The sequence below is a fragment of the Homo sapiens genome, chromosome 4, assembly GCF_000001405.40.
Source record: "Homo sapiens chromosome 4, GRCh38.p14 Primary Assembly".
Lineage (NCBI taxonomy): Eukaryota > Metazoa > Chordata > Mammalia > Primates > Hominidae > Homo > Homo sapiens.
Window position 1 is genome coordinate 46,099,789 of NC_000004.12, and position 25,036 is coordinate 46,124,824.

Here is a 25,036-nt window from a genome sequence, read left to right on the forward strand (position 1 = left end):
AAAACCCATGGTCCTTCTACTATTATTATATTCCCTTACTTTGCAAATGAAGAAAAACTCTGTGAGAAGTGGATTAACTTGACCAATGTAACACTGCTACTCTGGTAGAACTGGGGCTCTGATACCCGCAGTATGCAATGAGCACACTATAATATTGTTCCAATTTGAGATACGTTTATATATGAGTAAAAATACTTTGAGCCTGTACTTCTAAGGATGCATTATTTTAAAGTATACAAAGTTTCACTTATAACCCTATGCAGATTCCTGGAGAACATATTAGTTAACATATTTTTACTTACGTACATCATTACAGTAATTATTTTGCTCTACTTATCTTGTGTACAGTATAGAAATTTTGTTATATGATTTCCTTCAAATAATTTCCTATTATTTTCTCCAAGTAAATAAGTACATATAAGCTGAGGAATTAGAAATACTGAGTTGTCACATGTTCTCATTTATAAGTTGGAGCTAAATGATGAGAACACATCGACAAATGGAGGGGAGCAACACACACTGCGGCATATCAGAGTGGGGAGGGTGGGAGGAGGGAAAGGATCAGGAAAAATAACTAATGGAGACTAGGCTTAATACCTGGGAGATGAAATAAGCTGTAAAACAAGCCACCATGACACAAGTTTACTTAACAAACCTTTACATGTACCCCTGAACTTAAAATAAAAGTAAAAAAAAAATACTGAAGTATTAAGAATCTCTGCTGGTGTGTGCTTCTGGAATGTTTTATTTCCTAATTAGACTTGTTGAGATATTGGCAACAACTTAAATTTTAGGTTTTCATTCACCTCTAAATTTCAGTTTTATAGAATGAAGTATCTGGTGGGTATGGCAAGCCACTGCACATATAAACAGTTTATCTTTCCTTGAATAATGATTGCAATCAAATGGAAGATTTTAGAAAAAAAAAAAAAAAGCTTTTTCTGTTTTTTTTTTTATGGTGGCAATATTTTGATAATCTAAAATCCACATGGTGATACTAGTTTATATTGCCCTTTTCTCAGGTAGTAGAGAGGTAATATGAAAATTGACCTCAAAAATACTATAAAGTTATCTTTCCTCAGTTTCGGCAATAACATAAAAGAAATTTCATTATAGGTAATTTATCTACACCTTTTCTCTAAGCTATCTAAGTTATGCTCAGAATGTTCATTAATTACTTTGAATATTACATTGGTGTTATCTTGGTGATTAAAAAGTACTTCATAATTTTAAAAACATAGCACTTATAGTGTGTTTCATGTCCTGATGTTTTTTGGAAGCTGGGAGATTTTTGTAGCAGTTACATGTTTTGGATAAATATTTATTTGGAAGAAACAGGTATGATTTTTTAAAAATAATACTCTGAGAATTTATTAAAAATTAATATACCTACCTTAAAAATGAGAAAATAAGAGATTATAGAATTCCAGGACACACAGCTATTAAACAATAGACCCAGAATTTAAAATAATGTTGATTTAATTTGAAGACATATTTTCTGCTTCCTTAAAGTTTTCCTGGCACAACATATACCTTTATTGAATAATCTAGGGTGGTTCGGTTTTGAATTTCCTAATTCACAAGACCGCAACAAAACCTACGGTACGTAATTAGCAGACACATTTGGATTGTGTGTGGCTAGGGTAGTCTCAGCCCTTGACTCCAGAGAAGGTAGAATCATAAACTCAAGGAGTCGCACACTATATGACAAAAAAAGCACTGTGATCTCAATCTCTGACCCAGTGTTTTTGTCCATCTACAGAGATAATACCGTGTACTAAAAATGTGCTAAGTGCTAGGAATACAAAGACAAATGAAATTATAATCTTGATCTAGATGGTCTCATTTTCTAATAAAGGAGAAAACATTTTCAATCCAATGACACAGAAAAGCATCAGACATTAAGATGCTTATCACGGTATTACCTATGATTATATAACTTTTTTAACAATAAGAGTATGTTTAAATAATGATTTATTAACAAAAAGTACACATCTATTGCTTGTTAAGAGTCTGTAAAAACATCAAATTATTTTCATAATTTAATATTACATGAAAAATAACAGAAAACAGTTTGCTTTAATTGTCATCTATGTATAAAGTAGCTTAAAAGACTTGATGGAAAAACAGAATAATGTATACACTCAACATTCTATACTAGTGAGACAATAGAAAATTTATTTTTGCATGTTAATAGTATCCTGAAATCTTCATGTACACATTGTATAATGTAAATAAATGAAAAGGAGTGAATTCGATGTGAATGCCTACCTAAGAATGAACTTCTTCTTATATACCAGATAACGCTCTGAAATAAATTTCTAATTATAAAATGAATAACTAAATAGAGTATTTTAGAGAGAGGTAGAATATCATACTCTCTTAAGAAAATTATTGTGGCATCCCTGAAAATTTGCCACTTGGTTCTCCTGCTGTGAGAACATAGCTGCCTGCCAGTACTAAGGATGAGCCCTGAGTCTGCACCAGACCCAAGCTGTCTCAGGCTGCTTTCTGTCAATAACTGAACATAGTAGGAATATTAATTCAGATCCATTCCTGTCAGACTAGGAGCCCCTCTGAAGGGCAATTTGTGTTGGAGGATTCCTACCTCCCTGGCCAAAACTTTCTTAGAAGGGTATTGCACTCAGATTCTTTTGATCCAAACTACTTCTTCCCCCCTCTACTTTCATACGTTTCAAACATCTTTGTTACCTGAAGCCTCTCTTGCCACTCCCTCCTCCTCTCATTTATGTTTCCCAAGCATTTCTCTCTTACAAGTCTAAGGCCATCTTGACATCTGTTTCTCAAAGACTTCTTCACACATTCAATTGCAACCTGTACTTATTTACTAAAGAAAATCTTTGAGTCATTTAGTATATGATTATTATTTCTTTTTGTCTTACTAAACTCAGCTATTTTAATGTATCATACAAATTTCTTTGATGACAAGAAATTACTGTATGTGGGAAAAAAACCTTTAATAACTATATTACTCTTCTACATAACAAACAAGAGTTTCAAAATAATAACCAAGGGTTAATTTAAGTAAAGACAAGGCATGCTTTGCCATAAAATTATGAAGAAAATCCATCCTTATTACTAGAGAAAAAAATATATGCCTATAGCAAGTCAGTCAATTAATATAAACTATTTTTCATGCGTAAATTAAACATTCATTGAGGTTTGCCAAGGAAAATCTTGGTTTACACCTGTTGCCCCAAAATGATTTTTAATAGCAGCTTCTCATCACAAAATGGCCTACTTTGGATGATTAATGATCTAGTCACCCTGTATTTAGTTCATATAAAGGTTATTGCAAATTTCCTGGTTCTGACACGGGAGGGAGCTTCTTCCATTAATCTGTTAAGAAACCAGAGATGAAACTCAAAGTAGCTTAATAAGGTGCCTGAGGAATGTGAGTAAACCCTGAAGAAATAGTGATAGACTATTTTCCCCACAGTGTGAAAAAAACATAATTGCAAGTGAAATTGATTGATGAGGCCATTTACATACTTCATTGGAAAAAAATGATAATTGCTACTTGTACTGAGTATATGTACAGAAAAAATTCACTGGATAGTAAATATAATAAATATTTGTCACTGGTACTTCCTCATAAAAACTTCTGGGTTAGTTAGTTGGTCATTATTTCCACACAGGGAAAAGTTCCACCATGTTTATTAAAATAAATATAAAATTTGGTTATTCATATTGTTACCATTTGAGGTTATCATAGCCCTATTTTTTAAAAGTGGGGCTAACAATATTTTAATAGCAAATTAATCAGTGAATTAATATAAAATCCAGATAATAGGTAGATATACTCAATCAAGAAATCCAAATTTTTGCCTGTTATAATTAAAAAATAAATAAATATGTTCAGAAATCATGACTACCACTATTATTCTTGTCATTTGAATGTCATTGACTAGAGTTAATTTTGAGTGTCATTTTGCTACTCCTATTATTTCATACTAATAAACACAATTGACTGGGTGGTTTTGCTATCCCTATTAGTGCTCATTTAGGTAGCTGAGAAAAAGCATAAGTGGTTAGAATGATACAAAAAGTATAGGTACCTTATCAAAACTGATATTTTATATATTTTTATATAGCAATCAGGAGCCAAATTCAAGTTATGATTAGCTGCATGTAATCTCTACCAAAGTTCTATATACGTTACACTAAGCATTTCTAGGAACATAGAGTGTTTGAAGTAAGAGCACGTTTAGATATCTTCATGTCCTACTCCTTATATTAAAAAATAAGGAAACTGGAGTTCTAAACACATAAATGACTTCATTAAGGCCTCCAAGCTACTTAGTGCCAAAAATTTCATATAATTATTATATTCACATGTGAAATGATTATGATGATTCAAATGTATCAATGATCATACCACATTATATTTCAGTTACTTAGAGAAATGACTCCTACTCAAAACATACATAGAGATTGTAGTAAAAGGAAGTTATGAAGTATTTTAGAAACTCTTAAAAAGTAGATAATGATGTAATCATCAACTGTCTATGAAACCAATACACAGTTTAAGAAACAAAACGCTCTACATTCTTCTCCAGCCTCAGATATTATAAATGTTAAGATGAATTTATTGCCGTGTTGTTGTAAATGTAATAACTAATGTGTTACATTAACTAATCTTAGTTAGTTATTACATTTTAGCATATACCTATGTATCCTTGAATGACACAACGTTACATATAGCCATAATACATTATTACGTGTAGTCACATAATCCCTTTTTCCAATCTATTGGATATGAAATAGTATCTAATTTTCATTGCATTACATTCCTGTAATTATTATAAAATAAAACACCTATTTATATGTATTGGTTATTTTGCCTTATGTAAACTACATTCTAGTTGGGATTTTAACACTCTTTAAACAATTATAACAATTATTTTATTAAACTTCATTTGACAAATGTCTATTAGGTGCTTATTGTGTGCTGAGCATCCAGCATTTCTGGATGCTGGGGATGCAAAGATGACTAAAGCAGCCCCCAGAAGAAAGATCATGGAAAATAGAAGCCTTAAGTATTAGTATTAATCTTTTAATGGTAATGTGGGATTTGTACAAATCCTTACAAATCTTTGAGCCACAGTTTCCTCATCAAACTTTTAAGGTTTATATTTCTGTAAACCCTTAGGTAATGAATATATATTAAACATTACTGGATTTATAAAAGGTAATTCAGAACTTCCTCTTGAAAACGGTAAAGTGGGCACGCTATCCTTCCTTTTTCAGAAATCAACCAAAAGTAGCAAGGAGATAGAAAACCAGATTCCCAAACTCCATTTTTTATAAGCAAGGAGACTTCGGAAATCCAAAGCACAAACAAAGAGAAGGAAGCTGGCAGAATGATACTTGCTAATTAAGGCCTGGGCAAATTATTGATACAAGATCAACAAACAGATGCACCATTGGCAGAGGTGGGTGGTCTCTAAAACTGACTTGCGAAAGAAAATTAAAGTGAAAAAGAAAAAAAGAAAACGAAAAAACCAAACTGGCTTAGAAAAGAAAATGAAGCAAACGTCAGTTTGCTGAGGCTGATGGAAGAATGATACAGACAAATATAAACACTACTGTTTTTTTGTAATGTGGTAGAAGACAGTCCCAGCACTTTGAATAGCCCTATAACTTCATATCTTGGCTGCCTGTACATTTAGGAGATTTGGAGAAAATTTGGAAATTATTTTAAATTACTAGTACATGCAAAACAAAGGGGATGTTTTAAAAGGACAATTATTTACTTGAGGGAAAAATTTTTAAGTTCAGAAAAATTGTTATTACACTACATAACATGATTCACCTGTAACTGTATTTATACCACCATAATTAATTTGAATGTCCAATATGGGTTGGATCAACATCACACTATCTCCAGACACATAATCCTCCAATTTTCTAAAATTACTTACCTGTATAGATAAATAGGTAAGCAGTTAGATAGATAGATGGATGGATGGGTAGATAGATGATAGATAGATAGATAGATAGATAGATAGATAGATAGATAGATGATAGATATTCTCTACAAGTTAGTCGGTGTATGCACTTTCCTTTGTATTGATTGTTTTTTATCATCAAAAAGCAAAACAAGTGAAGGAGTCCTATTTCAACCAATTAGATGGCTAGAATTATTTTCTTCTCCAGGTTCCAGTAGCTCTTTACTCTCCTTCCTGAAATGTCTAGTTTTATAGGCACATTTGAGTATGACCACCTACTGAACTACACTGTGACCTGGTATGAAAGCAATCAACAGGCAGGCTGCTTAAGCAGGTCTGTTTATACTCCCAGGTCCTTTCTCAGGCCAAGTTGTTTAGAATAGGGTAGACACCTGAGCCCCAAAAGGTTAGCCAGACTTTCATTCCTGACAGTGGAGAATTTTAATCAATAAATGCAGCAATAGCTAATTTGTAGTGCAGCCCGTTGGCATAGCTAGAGAAAGAGAAGGAATTTCTGTCACCAAGACTGCCCCATCCCCAGCTTTCCTGATGTTTGGTTGATCAGTCCTTCACTGGGTCCCAGGGGATACCCCATAATTAGTCATTTATGTATTTACATTGGTTTGTTTGGTTTGTCTAAGTGCAATTTTGTAATTTAAAATGAAAAAAATCTTATACAACAAAAGACTTTGACAAAGAGTTAGAAAAGCAAAGACATTTTGCCATTGTTTTATTTTGCATTGGTAGGAAATGAGCAGATTTACTTCCTCAAAACATAATACAGCAAGAGCACTGTTAATAACTCAAATGTACATAAACGCTCATAGCTTGAACACAATGAATGCTTGGTTCTACTCTGCTCAACTGAATTAAGCTCAGGATGGATAATATGTTAAATTCAATAATTAGGTATATGAACTCCTCTCACCTAACACCTCCTTTCCTTGTAACATATCCTGACTTTAGAAACAGTTCATTTTCAGTCATTTTTTTGGTATATGAAATAAAACATGTGGAGGTTACTGTAAATTTTTTTTTTTGCTGGGTCATTAAGCTTGATATGAAAAAGAATCATGAGTGAGGAAGAATCTGTCATGCATGGTCACCTAATTCATCTTTCCAGCTCCAAACGCAACTACATTTAATCATTTTTTTAATTAAAAAAATTGTGGGTACAAAGTAGGTGTATATATTTAAGGGGAATGTGAGATGTTTAGATACAGGCATGCGATGTGAAATAAGCACAGCATGGAGAATGGTGTATTCATCCCCTGAAGCATTTATCCTTTGAGTTACAAATAATCCAATTATATTCTTCAAGTTATTTTAAAATATACAATTAAGTTATGTTGACTACAGTTACCCTATTGTGCTATGAAGTAGTAGGTTTTATTCATTCATTCCATTTTTTGTACCCATTATGTGGTTTTACAATTGTCTATTGATCTTTTCTCTCCTCTTGAATATTATTTTCTTTTCATTTGTCATTAACTAGAAACTCATTATAGTTTGCCATTTATCAGCAAAAGTTTTATGAAATCATATAAATTGAATAATATATATGTTCCTAAGGTAATACCTTATAATAATGTACACAATGCTTTATTTTTAACATGATTATACATCTTACTATTTAATATTTTAATGCAGTCATTCTAAATTCTACACACACAAATGTACATGTACACCATCCTCATTGTTACTCAGTTCCTTCCTTTCTTGTTTCCTTTCCTTCTCTTCTTCTTCCTCCCTGTCACCATTCCTCCCACCTCATTTCCCACCCTCCTTCTTTTTCTTATTGCTTCCTATCTCCCTCTCTTTTTTTCTCATATGTGAATTATGATGGTGATACTAAATTATATAATTTTGAATCATTAAATAGAAATGATGATTCTCTTGACATTGCCTTTGGAGATATCAAAAATCCTATCTTATTTTAATTTATTTTCTTCAAATATTCTGTTAACTTGTTGTTACTCTACAACAATCTCATGTTCTACAAACTTTCCAACTGAACAATACTTCTACTCAAAGCTTTGACATTTAAAATACTTTATACATATGATTATTTTTAAAATTAGACTATTATCAGAATACTATTCTACAAGTGGTGACATAACGACTATAAAAAGAAGGATCAATAATAGAATAAGTATTTACTTATGTATTTGGTAAAATGTTTATGTATATGTGATAGACAAAAATCTATGCTAGAGGACATATGACAAAAAAGGGAAGGTAAATCAATAGGTTTCCTAGCACATTCTGCACATTTTAAATATTTGTCAGAAGGAACATTAGAAATACAGAAAAATTATTATATTAGTAAATTGGAAATACTTGGGAAATATTCTGTATAAATGATGGTAATAAGTATGGAATGAAAAAATTCTAAGAAACATATAGTATTGGGGAATTTTTAGCTAGAAGGGAACATGAATTGATACTCTTTTCATGCACATTTCTTAAGCCAGGAAACAAGCATTATGGCCTGTCAGGGTCAAGCCAAATATGAAAAAATTCTGCTTAGTAAATTTTTGGCACACACATTCAGTTTATATGTCACTAAATCTCCGTGTGAGAAGTAGTGTTTTGCACAGCCACTTGAACTAGAAATTGATTTTGTTCAATTCACATTTGCTTTGCTTAATAGAGTCCACTCATTCATCAGTCAAGTAGGAGCAAAATGTTGACTTTCTGTTCTCAAGAATCTTAAAATTTGTTCAAAACTAAAGAAATTCACTCACTCACAATGATCTAATGACAGAAGTTTTGTGCTAGGATTCTGAACATATTAATCCTTACCACTATCCACGAGTGTGGAGTCCTTTACCACTATCCTTACCACTCTCCATGAGCGTGGGATTTTTTTTTTGTTTATGGATGCATCTCTAGTGACTAGAGAAGTGATGGGCACTAAGTTAGCACTCAATTATTATTTGTTGTATGAATGAAAACATGAATGTGGATTTTATAAGGTAGGCATTTTACCCTAATTTTATAAGTGAAGATCACTCAGTTTCTGAGAGATTTAAATAACTTTCCAAAGTTCTTACTATTAGTAAGTGGCAAAGGAAGAATTTATCACAGGTAAAATTCATCAGGAAGACTCAAATTATTTTAAAAAGTCTCCTTTGGGTTTCTTTAATTCTGCCCTTGCATTGATAACATAGTCTATTATCAATACAACACCCATAGTGATGTTTTTAATATACAGATCTTGTCATATCATATCTATGCTCAAAACCCTGGATCTTAGTTGGAGGGTTTTCCATATCTCTTAGGATAAACAGTGTCTCCTCAAGTTTTTAGAATACTTTCAGTAGAATTGGTACCAGGTTTTCTTTGTATGCCTAGTAGAATTTGGCTGTGAATCCATCTGGCCCAGGGCTTTTTTTTGGTTAGTATTTTTTTTTAATACTGATTCAATTTTGAAACTCAGTGATGGTCTGTTCAGGATTTTAATTTCTTACTGATTCAATCTTGGAAGATTGTGTGTTTCCAGGAATTTATGCATTTGCTCCAGATTTTCTAGTTTGTGTGCATAAAGGTATCCATAATAGTATCAGAGGATCTTTTATATCTCTGTGGGATTAGTTGTAATGTCACCATTGCCATTTCTGATTGTGCTTATTTGGATCTTCTCTCTCTCTTTTTCTTTGTTAATCTAGCTTTCAGTCCATCAATCTTGTTTATCATTTTAGAAAAGGTTTCACTGATTCTTTGTACAAATTTTTGTGTCTCCATTACATTCAGTTCTGTTCTGATATTAGTTACTTCTTTTCTTCTGCTAGTTTTGTGGTTAGTTTGTTCTTATTTTTCTAGTTTCCCCAGGTGCGATGTTACATAATTAAATTGAGATTATTTTAACCTTTTCAGGCCCACAGTTAGCATATAAACTTTCTTCTTAACACTGCTTTTGCAGCATAACAGAGACTTTAGTATATTGTGTCTCTGTCTTCATTTATTTCAAATAATTTTTTGATTTATCCCTTACTTTCATTGTTTACCCAAAAGGCATTCTGGGGCAAGTTGTTTAATTTCCATATAATTGTATGGTTCCAAGAGATCTTCTTGGTATTGATATCTATTTTTATTCCACTGTGGTCCAAGACTATAGGTGGTATGATTTTGACCTTTTTGAATTTGTTGAGATGTGCTTTATGGCTGAGCATGTGGTTGATCTTGGAGTAGGTTCCATGTGCAGATGAGAAAAATGTATATTCTCTGGTTGATGGGAAGAGTGTTCTACAGATATCTGCTAGTTCCAATTGGTCAAGTGTCAAATTTAGTTACAGAATTTCTTTTTTACTTTACTTTTCTCCTTCAATCTTGCTAATGCTTTCAGTGGGATGTTGAAATCTTCAACTATGATTGGGTGACTGTCTAAATGTTTTTGTAGTTCTAGATGTATATCTTTAAATGTAGGTGCTCCAATGTTGGGTGCACATAAATTTAAGATAACTGAGTCTTCTTGTTGAATTGCACCCTTTATAATTATGCAATGCCCTCCTTTGTCCATTTTTACTGTTGATGGTTTAATGTCATTTTATCTGATATAACATAGTGAACCCTGCTCTTTTTGCTTTCTGTTTGCCCATTAAAACTTTATCTAAACTTTATTTTGAGCTGATGGGCATTACTACCTCTGAGACAGGTGTCTTGAAGACAGCAGATGGATGGGTCTTGTTAATCTATCCAACCTGCCACTCTGTGCCTTTTAAGTCCTCTCTAACTAATTCTAAAAAGCCAGCACCACCCTAATACCAAAACCCACCAAAGACAATGAAAAAAGAAAACTACAGGCAAATATCCTTGATGAACATAGATGCAAAAACCCTCAAAATAAATAAGGCAAACTGAACCCAACAGTACATCAAAAAGTTAATTCATCACAATCAAGTAGGTTCTATTCCTGGGATATAAGGTTGGTTCACCATATGCAAATGAATAAATGTGATTCATCATATGAGCATAATTAAAAAAAACATGTAATCATCTCAATAGACGTGGAAAAAGCTTTAGATATAATCCAACATCCTTTCATGATAAAAACCCTCAAGAAACTAAGACTTGAAGGAACATACCTCAAAATAATAAGAGTCATCTATGACAAATCACAGCCAACATCAAACTAAATGGTCAAAAGGTGGAAGCACCACCCTTGATAACTGAAACAGGACAAGGATGGCCACTCCTACCACTCCTATTCAACGTAAGACTAGAAATGCTAGCCAGAGCAATATGGCAAGAGAAAGAAATAAAAGGCATCGAACAGAAAAAGAAGAAATCAAACTATCTCTTTTTAGAAAGTGTGTGATTCTATACCAGGAAAATCCCAAAGAACTCCACCAAAAGGCTCCTGGAACTGATAAACCACTTCATTGTAATTCAGGACACAAAATCAATGTTTAAAACTCAGTAGAATTTCTATACGAAAATAATGTTCAATCTAGGAGTCAAATCAAGAATGTAATCCCATTTACAATAGCCACAAAAATAATACCTAGGAAAACATGTAACCAAGGAGCTGAAAGATCTCTACAAGCAGAACTACAAAACACTGCTAAAACAATTCAAAGGTGACTCAAAGAAATGCAAAACATTTCACGTTCATGGATTGGAATAAACAATATTATTAAAAAGGCCATATCGGACAAAGCAATTTACACATTCAATGCTATTCCTATTAAGCTAACAAAAGAGTTTTCCATAGAACTAGGAAAAACTATTCTAAAATTCATATGGAACAAAAAAGGAGCCCAAATAGCCAAAGCAACTCCAAGAAAAAAGAACAAAGCCAGAATCATCACATTATCTTATTTTAAACTATATGAAAAGGCTGCAGTAACCAAAACAGCATGGTACTGGTACAAAAACAGACACATAGGCAAATGGAACAGAAGAGAGCCCAGAAATAAAACTGCACACCTACAGACATCTGATCTTCAACAAATTTGGCAAAAATAAGCAATGAGAAAAGGACTCTCTATTCAATAAATGGTGCTGGAATAGTTGGCTAGCCATACGAAGAAGACTGAAATGGGACCCTTAACTTGCACCACATACAAAAATTGACTCATGATAGATTAAAGGTTTAAATGTAAAACTTCACACTGTAATAATCCTACAAGAAAACCTAGGAAACACCATTCTGGATGTCAGCTTTAGGAAAGCAATTATAGCTCAGTCCTCAAAAGAAATTGCAACAAAAACAAAAATGGACATGTGAGACCTTATTAAACTGAAGAGCTTCTGCAGAGCAAAAACAACTGTCAAGGAGTAAACAGATAACTTACATAATGAGAGAAAATATTTGCAAACTGTGCATCTGACAAAGATCTAATATCTAGAATCCACAGGGAACTTAAACAATTGAAAATCCAACAAAATAAAACCCCACTAAAAGTAGGAAAATACATGAACAGACATTTTTCAAAAGAAGACATAGAGGTGGCCAGCAAACATAGGGAACATATTCCACACCTCTAAACGTCAGAGAAATGCAAATCAAAACCACAACAAGATATCCTACACCAATCAGAATGACTATTATTGAAAAGCCAAAAAGCAACAGATATAGACTAGGCTGTGGAGAAAAGGAAATGCTTATACACTGTTGATGAGAATGCAAAATAGTTCTGCCAATGTGGAAAGCAGTTTTGAGATTTCTCAAAGAACTTAAAACAGAACTATCATTCAACCCAGCAATCCCATTACTGGGTATATATCCAAAAGAAAACAAATAATTCTACCAAAAAGACACATGCACTCACATGTTCCATGCAGCACTGTTCACAACAGCAAAGTGATAGAATCAACTGATAGGTGCCCATTAGTGGTGGATTGGATAAAGAAAATGAGGTACATAAACACTACATAGCCATAAAAAAGCCATTAAAAAACAACAAAATTGTGTTTTTTGCAGAACAGAAAAGCAAATACCCCATGTTCTCATTTGTAAGTGTGAGCCTAACATTGGGTGCTCATGAACATAAAAGGCAATGGGGACTATTAGAGAGGGCAAGGAGGTATGAGGTAAGGGTTGAAAAACTAACCATTGGGTACTATGATTCGTATATCGCTGATGGGATTATTCCTACTTCAAAGCTCAGCATCCTGGAATATACACAGGTAAAAAATCTGCACATGCATCCCTTGAATTTAAAATAAAAGTTGAAAAAAAAATAGCTACACGGCTACAAGTAACTACAAGGCCCCCACATTATGGTCTTCCACTTCAAATTCTTATCTCCCCAACCCTCACTTGGCATGACTGAAAGCTTCACTCACTTATAGTATTTGTTCAAATATTATTTAATCATTGAAGCCTGTCTGATCACTATTTGCTCTTCTATCCAAATTCCACACCTCCTTGCCCGGCTTATTTGTTTCTCTATGTATTAGTCCATTTTTATACTGCTATAAAGAACTGCCCAAGACTGAGTAATTTATAAAGAAAAGAGGTTTAATTGACTCACAGTTCAGTATAACTGGGAAGGCTTCAGTAAACTTACAATCATGGTGAAGGCAAAGGGGAAGCAAGGTACCTTCCTCACAAGGCAACAAGAAGGAAAGGTGCTGAGAGAAGGGGGAAGAGCCCCTTATAAAACCATCAAATCTCCTGAGAACTCACTATCATGAGAACAGCATAGGGGTAACTGCCCCCATGATTCAATTACATTCACCTGGTCTCTCTCTTGACACTTGGGGATTATGGGGATTACAATTCAAGATGAGATTTGGCGGGGGGGACATGAAGCCTAACCGTATCACCATAGCTCTAATTTAATTATAAAATCCTATACATAAATGATAAAGGATGAAATAGTATTAACCCATTAAATTATATTTGCCCATTTGGACAAAAAGATAATTTTATAAGTTCCAATTTAATATATTTATGCTTATTGTTTACTGTGTATTTCTCCCTCCTGAGTGCCAACTCCAAAATGGTAGAAGGTGTTTTATCTCTAGTTCATGGACATATCACAAGTTTCTAGAACAGCATCTGTCACACACAGGGTTTCAATGAATATTCTTTAGTAAATAAATATATGTTGTCTCCACAGGCCCTATCTGTGATCTGTTGTTCATGACAAGTTAGGTAGTATTTATTTACAACCATCAAACACATTTTCATAAACACAGTATTTCAGGGAAAAGTTCCAGAAAAGAAACGTATCTTCTGAGTAGAAGATGCAATATACTCTATGTCAAGAACTGTAAGAACTAGCTTTTCAAAGGGTAGGAAAAATCACTGATTTTAGACCTAAAATCAAAAAGTAAATAAATTTTCTCTCTTTTTTGCCTTCATGTTTGAGCTACTAAACCCTTTTGTAGAAAAGTTCCTTTCTAGGGTTGTAGCTCTGAATAATTTTTCACTGTACAAAAGCTATAGAAAAGCAAAATAAGTAAAAGAGTGATAAATAACAGCATTATAGATTTAAACTTTCAGAATTTTATTATATGTGCAGCTGAAGCAAGCACTAAACCTCCAGAGTTTTAAAGAGGAGAATTGATAATCCACTCAATACTATGATTATTTTATGAGCACAAAGGAAACTACAGTGGAACCTATCACTTAACATACATAGAGAGATGCTTTGAAAACTTGAAATGACAGAAGAGAACCAAGCCTAGAATACTAGGTAAGTGTGTCCTGTATGCTTCCAATCTGTCCTGTGGTTAACTCTACCATGCAGTTAATCATACTGTATCTTAATTAATTACTTATTTATTTATGACCGTCTCTAAGCTTTAAGCAATTTGAAGGTATTTAGGTATTTAAATACCTTAGAGCCAAAGGTATGTAATGTGATACCTCCAGCACCTACTCCCAAATCTGATACATAGTTTGTGCCCAATTTAATAAAAATCAATGAATAAGTAAGTGAACAGAAAAAAAAATTTAAATCCTATTGTGCTATTTTCAGATAAAATTACCATGAATCAAGAACATAACTAAAACTATAACTGTGGTCCTTAATTTAAAAATTATGGTAGATAACCTAACATAAAGCTAATTTAAAAAACATACTAACTTTCTGATACCAATACAAATTCATCAAAAATAAAAACAGAAGAAAAAACCTTACTCATTTGACAATGACAACATAGCATATGAAATGATTAAGCGGAACTATAACAGGGAAGGTAAATGTCTTACGTGAAGAAAACTAAAGAGTTTATTGAGGAACATAAGGACAGAAAAAAAAAGACAAAGTAAATATTTTGCCTATAAAATATTGTTAATGTATGATTCCTAAATTTTTGATGCATTTAATACAGGTTTAATCAGAATCTCACCTTTTGTGTGTAACAGGTTAAAACCATTAAAATTAAGTAGAACAATCAACATGAGAATTTATAAGATATTATTTAAAAAGGGAATTCTTAGATGGACTTTTTCTGGCAAGAATAAAAAGAAAACAAAATAAAGTTTCTGTAAGTAAAACCTCATTGTAGCAATAAATAGTGAAAACAAAATTAAGCTTTCAAAATAAGATCCCAAATATATAGATGTATCCCAAAAATACAATATATGATAAAAGTGAATTATCAGTTTAGAAATACAAGAATTATTCCGTAAGTTGTGTTGAAATGCTAATTAGCTCTTTTAGAAGAAAACAAAATTAGATTCCCACCTTACACAGTAAATTGTTATATATACCATGGCATTAGGGAAAATCATTTTTTTCTTATGTTTCAACAACAGCAACAATTGAAAATATTTTCAAAAAGCAAGTAAAGAAAAATAAAGTTGAGTAAAAAACTCAAACTGTAAAGTAAAATTAATTTTCTGTCTACAGACCAGAGCATGAATAAGATTATACATCAATGATTTTATTTGAGATGTGAAAAAATGATTTAGGAGAAAGAAGTAAAATGTGGCTTCATTTATAGTCTATTTTATATGGTTTCCTTGGTAGGATTGAAGATATAGATCTCTTCAAAATTACATCTAAAATAGGAAACAAATAGCAATTTAAATTGCTTTTAGCACTGTATATCTCTGTTACTTTCAAAAATGAGTCGGACAATTGCCAATCATATCAGAGCATAGTTTATTTATTTAGAATCAATATAAGATTAAACATAAGATAGCTAATGAAAAAAGAGTAATATCAGAATACATTTAAAAAATTAATTGGTACGGTGGCATGTTTTTAGAAAGAGGATAAAAAAGACAATTATAAAACAGATTTTTTTCTTAATGCCTTTGGTTATAGATTTGAAATTTTTGTAGCTTTTTGATTGATTTTTAATAAAAGAATAAATACTACAAATAAAACAGTATAGCTTGCCAACTTTTAGATTTTTGTCTTTGTTGTTTATTTGCTATGTTTAGCAGGCTAACTTTGTTCCTCAAAGCAGAGTGTAGAAAACTACAAACCACCCATCCAATGAAATCTTCAGAAGGCTGGTAAATGCCCAGAAATTGTAAATGTTATTTTATGACCATTTCTATGTGAGTGCTTTTTGGAGTAAGAGAAAGAAAATGTAATTTTTATTATAGTCTATTTAAAAAATGAACACTGAATAGACAATATATTGAAATTATCATTGAGTTCTCCATTTTTAAGTTCATTTTCATAGTGCCTGACAGAACATAAGTTAGACTTAGAAAAAAAATACAAATCGTGGTGACATTCACACTCTCTGAGACTTTGGGATATCTATGCTTCAGATACATTCTTCAAGGCTGCTAAAAATATTGCAACATGGAGGCATTATATTGAGCTTATTAAATTATAAAACATATTAAAAGACCTTAAAAGTGGAAGAAAGAAATCGGAATTCATACCTCTGAAGGCAGAAACATATATATTTTTCTAAGCCTTGGGATCTGAAATGAGTGTCAAATATTTTAATTGACAAAAGATTGTCTTAGACTATTCACTTCAAAAACTAAGAGAATACAAATAAGTGAATAGAAAAAGCAAAACAGTCTAGTCTACTCTAGTCATGACAATCTGATGATTTTGGAAATGAATTGTTACTAAGAAATTCCAGAGACAAATATACATTCATAAGCCACCTGCAGAGGGTAACAAATTAGTTTATAAAATACAGGCATCTGAATTAATACTTAAGTTCAATCCAGCCAACAGGGCTACTCAGTGCTAGTAAATATGGCTCTTTTCTGGAACAGGTATTCTTTACTCAACACACTCTATTACACGTGCTGGAAAATTAATATTATAATTATACCCATCTAGGATGATCAAGAGGTGAATGATATCCCTGTACTTAAGCATACTGTACCTAATGTACAACCATTAGTGATTGTTCTAGAAATCTGCCTAAAGATTAACCTAGTGGCTAGAACCCTTGATTCTAGCAGTCTTAAAGCCATCTAGAGAAACAAATCACATCTTGACATGACTATTAAAATATATATTAAACTCACTATTTTATAATCATAAACTTTCTGATCCTATATTCTAGCTATAGGTTGGAGAGCAGGGTCTATATTAAGTTTACTTCTGTATCTCTATTGCATAGCACAATCTCTATTACTTTTTAGTCACTTAATATTTGTCTAACAAATAAGGAAAAATGTCAAATCTCAGAATACATTGTTTCTGGGAGGAAAAGATTTCTACATTTCAGGATTTCAAAATTAAACTAAATTATATAGCCTTCAATAGGATGTTTCTATTTTAATGCCACATCTTACACAACCAGAGTAAAGGTTCACCTAAAATATATAGGAAATCTATATACAAAAAATTCTACCAAACTGTGAGACTCTACCTTTGGCACAAGATGGTAATGTTATCTCTGTCTCTCTCTCTCTCTCTCTCTCTCTCTCTCTGTCTCTCTTTGTCTCTCTCTCTCTCTCTCTCTATATATATATACACATATGTATACATATATACATATATATGTATATACGTATATAGCTGTATATATATACACATGTATATAGCTGTATATATACATACATGTATATACATATACATATATACATATACACATATACATACATGTATATACATATACATATATACATACATGTATATACATATATACATATGTATACATGTGTATCTATATACATATATACATATGTATACATGTGTATCTATATACATATATACATATGTATACATGTGTATCTATATACATATATACATATGTATACATGTGTATCTATATACATATATACATATGTATACATGTGTATCTATATACATATATACATATGTATACATGTGTATCTATATACATATATACATATGTATACATGTGTATCTATATACATATATACATATGTATACATGTGTGTATGTATACATATGTGTGTGTATATATATACATATGTATACATATGTGTGTATATATACATATATACGTGTGTGTGTGTATATATATATATACAGCTACAGTATAATATGCCTTACCCTTATCCTCAACCCCCTAACAGAACATATAGCCTACCCTTTCCTCAGATGTAAGGATATATATTACATATAGATCTATCTATCTATCTATCTATCTATCTATCTATCTACCTACCTATCTAGATGTATATATATCTTTCCCTCATACTGACCTGAACTTATGCCTATGACAGCTGAGAACATACAATATTTTCCCAGAGTTGCAACTGATGGCAACTTCTTTATTGCTCCCACTGTACCTCCTCCAGAATTCTGAGTAGCAATTACAGCATTTTATTGTGTTTACTTGTTTATGTTAATATGCTATCTTGACACAAACTACTAGAGTTTATGTTCATTGAGCAGGAATTCTGATTTCTGTATCCTGTTCATCTAGCATATAATATATGTCTTATTTATGCTAGTTGAACACTATAGGGCAATGACTTTGTCTTATTTACCATTATTACCATTATATCTAGTTTCCAGAACCCTGCTTAACACACAATGGGCACTGAGTAAATATTGGTGGAATGAACGGTAGTGCTCAGTGAGTATTTACTGAATGAATTAATAGCTAAGGCTATTTCTTGAAACATGGGACTTCAGCTGGCTAAATTATTTTAGTACTGATAGACTTAATGAAATGTTTGAAAATAAAAAAAACTATAAATTTAATCTACCTCCTACAGAGCCTGAGAACGCACTAACAAGTTTCTGCTTAAACATGTCTAGTGATAAGCTATCCATTACCATGTTAGATAACTTTTGTATTGGGAGAAAATCTTCCTTCATATAATTTCTACTACTTGGTTATGGTTTGTCTACTACATCTATACATAATAAATTCAAACATGATTATATATAGCATCCTTTAAAATAAGATAACCATTCAATTCCTCAGTAAACTTATGTAAATTAAAAAATTTTGCTTTTAAGTTACAGTTGTGTGTGTGTGTGTGTGTGTTTGTCTGCGTCAAGTACTTCAGTGTGTCAAAATTTTCTTTAAAATAATCTGGCACTACCCACAATACTCCAGAAAGTGTGTGATAGGTACAAAGTAGATTTTTCTGCTTAATGTGATTTTATCAATGAACTCATAATTTACTGTAGTATCTCTCTTCTCTTCTCCTCTTTTTTTCTCCATTTCCTTTAAAAAATTTATCAACACTAATGTTCATTGTTTTGACTTATATTGCATTCATAATCTGAGAGATGTGGTAGTTAAAAATGCAGGCAGGGGTATAGAACACAGGGATTTAAGTTTCGGTTTCAGCACCTATCAGCAAGATGACCTTTAATAAGTTCACAAAAATGTTTTTCCCCTGTTTTTCCATCTGTAAAATTGAGAGAATAACAATATCGAGGCTATATTCTTCTTCTTCTTCTCATTAGGTAATTTGGCTAAGTATAATCTTCTAGGAGGAATACTTGACTTCAGATTTGAAGACATTTTCCCCATAGTCTTCTGGTATTGCTGATGAGAAATCTCTTGGCTCTTTAGTTCTTCTTCCTTGATTATGATCCATTCTTTCAGTATATCTTCAAAAATTTAGGCTCCTCTGTTTATCTTTAGAGTTCTAGAGGTGTATTTTTAATTTTGATTAAAATATATTTTTTATTTAATTAGTGTCATAAATCTAGGTCTTAGCCATGAATAAGCATAAGCTGCATTTAAAAGACATTTAAAAGACTTAAAAGACATTTAAGAACACACAAGGATCCATATATTTCACTCTACTGCACTTAAAACCACTTTAGCGAGGCTATATCATAATAGAATAACTATAATTCCACAGAATATCTGTTATGACTTTCTTTTCATATAAAATTTTAAGTGCTAGTTTCTTTGCACAGATTTTCTTTCTTGGAAATTTCATTTCTGGAAATGCATACGACAACTCCACACTAATGAAGATTTTCTGCCTCAAGGAGTTGTCTGAAATCACTCCAGTGAGAAATGGTGGAGCTGAAACTGGAATTTAGATCTGTTGGTAAAGGCCAGGATTCTCACTTGAAAGCCTGCCCATATGTGAATTACTCTCTTGAAGCTCATTCTTCCTTTTCTTTCATGGAAGTCATTTATCATATTTTGGTAATCATTTTCTCAGTATCTCCAGAGTCATTTTTCAGTTTTTTTTACTCTTTCTTTTCACCCCTCCTTTGGGCCTCCACCTTCATCCTTATATTCTTACATTCAATTAATCTATTTAATATTTGAATGAAATATCAAACATTTCCTCTTGTTCCTTAGCCATAAGTGTTCTTCATAGTATAGAATGGAAGAAAGATACTGATTGTTTGGATAAACTAAAAGACTCTGTACACAGGGGTTTTATCAATTACGACATTTGCATTTTAGCTTCAAAAATCATTTTCCTCTCAGTCTTTTGCATATTTAACTATCATGGAATATCTTTACTTAGTCATTTGCTTTTCAAGTTTGAATGGTTATCATCAACATTTTATTACAAATTTAAGCCAAAAATCTAGACACTTAAAAAATTATTCATTCATTACTACCCACACAAAACATACTACTGAAATTGCTTGAAAATAATATATTTTAAAAAGCAAGTTTATTTGAATATTTTCAACCGGGCAACTGAATGCCACATAGTATGATTATTGACTCATGGAAATTGTTCTGAAAAAAGAAAATTGTGATTTTTTCCTGGAGCTCTTTCAATGTATAACTCTTAGTCAAGGCTTATTGTAGGTTACTTTTGGTAACAGCTAAAATATCTTTTTAAATTCTTTTTAAAAACCTGATTATAACTAGATTATTTTCATCATTACAAAGAAGTTAAATCAAGCTGAAGAGATTCTAAAGAACTTGTCAAGATGCCAAAGAGTCTCCTAGAGAATGATACACAGGAACCATGACTACAGTTTTAGTTACAATGATAGGATAGGTTTTCATAGTTCAGCAATAAAAAATAAAATAGTGTTTCTCCTCTATACTGTTGATGGAAATTAATGAGGAAACTAAGCATTACAACTGATTAAATACAAAAAAAATGCTTCCAATTTGGGAAGTCCCCAAAATAGATGACTTTCAAGATATATTTTGGAAATCATATAAAACACTAAAATGCTTACAAATGAACTATTTATGGTTAGTTTTGGAAGGGAAAACTAACCAAAAGAAAGGGAAAGGGAGAGAGAAATATGATCGTACATGATTTATACATGTTAGCATCTGTTACCTCCAACTAAATATTAAAAGGATAAAAAGTTCACCCAACTGTAGCTACTTTATTTTACTTATTTTAAAAGAATGTTCATTGCAACATTATTTTTTAAATTTATTTTTTAGCAAAAGCATGCTTTATTTCCTTTTAATTGCTATATTTCCCAACTTGGTCTCATAGAACCCAATGGAGAAAGAAACATGTTCTAATAACATTCTCATGGTTTGCCTACAAAAGTGTTTCTGTGTCAAACTTTTTCCATTCAATGAAGAAAACAGTATATGATGCATCTTAAAGAAAGCATGCTTACATTTGCCTTTTATTGCTAGCTTTCTACCTCATTCTTAAAAATTATGTTTTTGGGGGTACTTTTAAATGTATAACATGAACTGTCATAACTGAGGCCGTAAGGGCTAATTAGAACAACAGCTTATAAATATATCTTTTAATGTATATTTATTCACTGGACAAAATAATCCAGGTTATCTACATTACTATGACAATAAAAATTATGTGTTAACTGTACAATACCTTCCTCACTTATACATATGGTTAAAAAGTCCATAGTATTCACACTTAGAATTTCCCTCTTGAAAAGTACTTAGATAAAACAGTGAAGCAACCATTGACTTATTTCATGTTTCAGTTGAAATCATAGATGTATTGAATGTGAAACTCTTAAGAAATCATATGTGGTCTAGTATCCTTCATTTCATAGATGAACCTGTGTTCAGAGAGGTTAAAGGCCCTTGACACATGAGATCATGTCTCCAGGCTGCTAAACCTGCACTCTGTCCCTTCAGCACATATCTCTTCAATTCTGGGAGCTTGATGTAATTGGCTCTGGAGCCAATTACAATGATTGCAAATATTCCCCAAAACAAAACATGTTTATTTAAAATAAAACATCTCTTGGGATAGATAATATGCTCTTTACTAAGCAGCTTGCCTATTTGTTTGAAAGGAAAACTCGTATAAAATGATAAAAGGTTGTTATTTCAGAAAACTACTGTAAATCTGTTTTTACTTTTGTAATATTATGATGTATGTGTATACCTAAATATCTTTTATAAAATGCTATAATATATTCAAAGAATAAGCCATTACGACACAATATATACAAGAAATAATTCATCCAGTATTATGTTTATGTTCGTGTCAAACATTTAAGAATCTAAGGGAACAGGGTTAAAAAAAAAGAGAGAGAAAACTTCAGTCCTACAAAAGCACTAACTGTCAAAAAATTCTAACAGGTCTAATATTACTTAGCCTACTTTAATCCAATCTCTATTTTCTAAGAGAAAATATACTTGTTCTATATGCTGGTGTGGCAAAAAAATTCACTCTAGCTTTACACTTACGTTTATAATAATAATTCATTTTAGCAGTGATACAAATAGTTATAAAGGCATGTTTCTATCTTCATAATGATTGTACTTTACTTTTGAATTCTATACAGAGTTACTTTTTTAATAATGTAATGATAAAAGTACATTTATTTGAAACAAGTTGCATGGTATGAGTACCATGTCCCAGACCTTTATAAGTGTCTATGTCTTAATCAACGTATTTTAGCTCAAGTCACCCACTACTCCTACGTATAATCGAAGAATGATACCTGAGCATTTTATATGTCTACCAGAATGACTTAAACATTTTACTGAAAGGTATTCCAGTCCAGTTTTGTTTCTGTTAAATTTGAAATTTGTGATCGGTGACACTTTTCTCTCTCTCTCTCTCTCTGTCCCATACACACAAACACACACACACACACACACACACACACACACACACACACACAGAGCCAAGACATTCATGTGGCCACACATTTTTAATTACTGATGGACAGCCAATTTTAAAAAAAAACACTCAAAGCTGGTTCAAATTAAATATACACGGTCAGTTTTTACTTGGATACTATACATTTTTAATGCTGATAGATTTGTTTTTAGCCAGATTTACAATATTTCTTGATGTAAAACACTGGTTTGTTCCAGAAAGTTACCAAAAACGAGGAAAGGGGAAAAGCAATAGCAGTAGGTAGAAAAACATCATACATATCATGCTGTGTAACAACAAGTTTCTGAAATAACTTTGTTTTTAAAATGCAGAATCATCCAGAAAGTTCTTCGGTGGCATTCATTCAGTAAATTTACTGGCAAAGTCATTTCTACTCCCCCTCACTCCCTCCCAGTAACTCAACCTTCATTAGTTCACTAGTTCACTAGTTTATACTCTGCTTGAAGTCAAAAACAACTGAACCAATCTCATGCTTCAGAAATATGTTACTTTCCTTCTATCTGAGAATGAATAGATCTAATCAGAAAATAAAACGATGGTAAATACCACATATGTGTTAGGAAATGCAAATTAATTACTTAAAGTGGAATAATTTTTAAAAGAAAGGGGAATAAGGGGAAAGGGGTAGATAGCAAAGAATAGTTTTAAACCCCTGAATTTACTCACCAGTTTCCCAAATGCAGGGTCAGTAACAAGAAGACCAACCTCACCCCTCTACTTTGACTCCGCAGAAGAAAAGGGGAGAAGAGAAAAGCTTTCAAAGGACCCATCGGAATCGCTTTTTTACGTGTGCTGCACTAGCTCAATTCTCCCAGCCAGGACTTTTCCTCCCACCTCAGCAGCAGCTGGCTGAGTACAGAAGGGAGAGTGTGGAAAGGCAGTGCACCTCCCAAACAGGTAGGATGCGACTCCCAGCAGAATTGAGCCAGGGAGCCAATCAGGCCGAGAGGATGGTGGCATAAATTATCTTAAAAAGAGTTGAGCCAATCAGTAGCCCAAGGAGGCGGGGTTCTCCTACTAGAAATTGAGCCCAGTAGGGAAAAGGGCTCCCTTTTTCTAAAAGAAAAACAAACCTCTTCTCCCTCGCAGCGGCGGAGAAACGTTTGAGTGGCCTTGAACAGAATCCCTCCCTAGGGAGAGGCTGCCTTTCTCCCCTTCTGCTCTTCCTCTTGTCTGACTCTATTTCGGGGCGACTGCCTCTTTCCTCTCCAGCGTTCGGATTCTAAATCTGTCTTCCAAGAGAGACCCGTGGGAAGCAGGCAGTGCCTAATTGGTTTTCCCCAGGTTCGTGAGGATTCTGTTAATTTGTGTTAATCATTTTGTTAATTTTGTGGGTGGGGCGGTGTCTCCTTTCTCTTTGCAGATCCAGCACCTGGCAGGATGCCCCGCACAAATGAGCACTCAGGAGATGTTGAATGTATAATTGAATGAATGAATGAATGAATGAGCAGGCTCCATGCATTCCTGGTCACCACGTTTGCTCCCCCCAACCCCCTTCCACCGCCTTAATAGTGAGAGAGGATATGCAGTCTTCTTCTCCCGCCGGGCACCGAAAGATGACACTAATGAATAATGCCAGGCAAGAACTATCTCATCTTAATCTCATCTTACAAACACAAAAACAGAAGTCTGATTTTATAAATGTTGTCATAGCCATAGGAGCTGTAGACCTATTAGATGG

At 32.7% G+C, this 25,036-nt stretch overlaps 1 protein-coding gene across 1 annotated transcript in view; it reads right to left on the reverse strand.

Annotated features, from left to right (window-relative positions):
• Nucleotides 1–24,266, reverse strand: part of GABRG1 (gamma-aminobutyric acid type A receptor subunit gamma1) — an 88,286-nt gene extending 64,020 nt beyond the window's left edge. Inside the window, exon 1 of the mRNA NM_173536.4 lies at nucleotides 24,022–24,266. Within this exon, the coding sequence (NP_775807.2) occupies nucleotides 24,022–24,125 (104 nt within the window). The 5' untranslated portion in view covers nucleotides 24,126–24,266. The remainder of the gene's footprint in view (nucleotides 1–24,021) is intronic.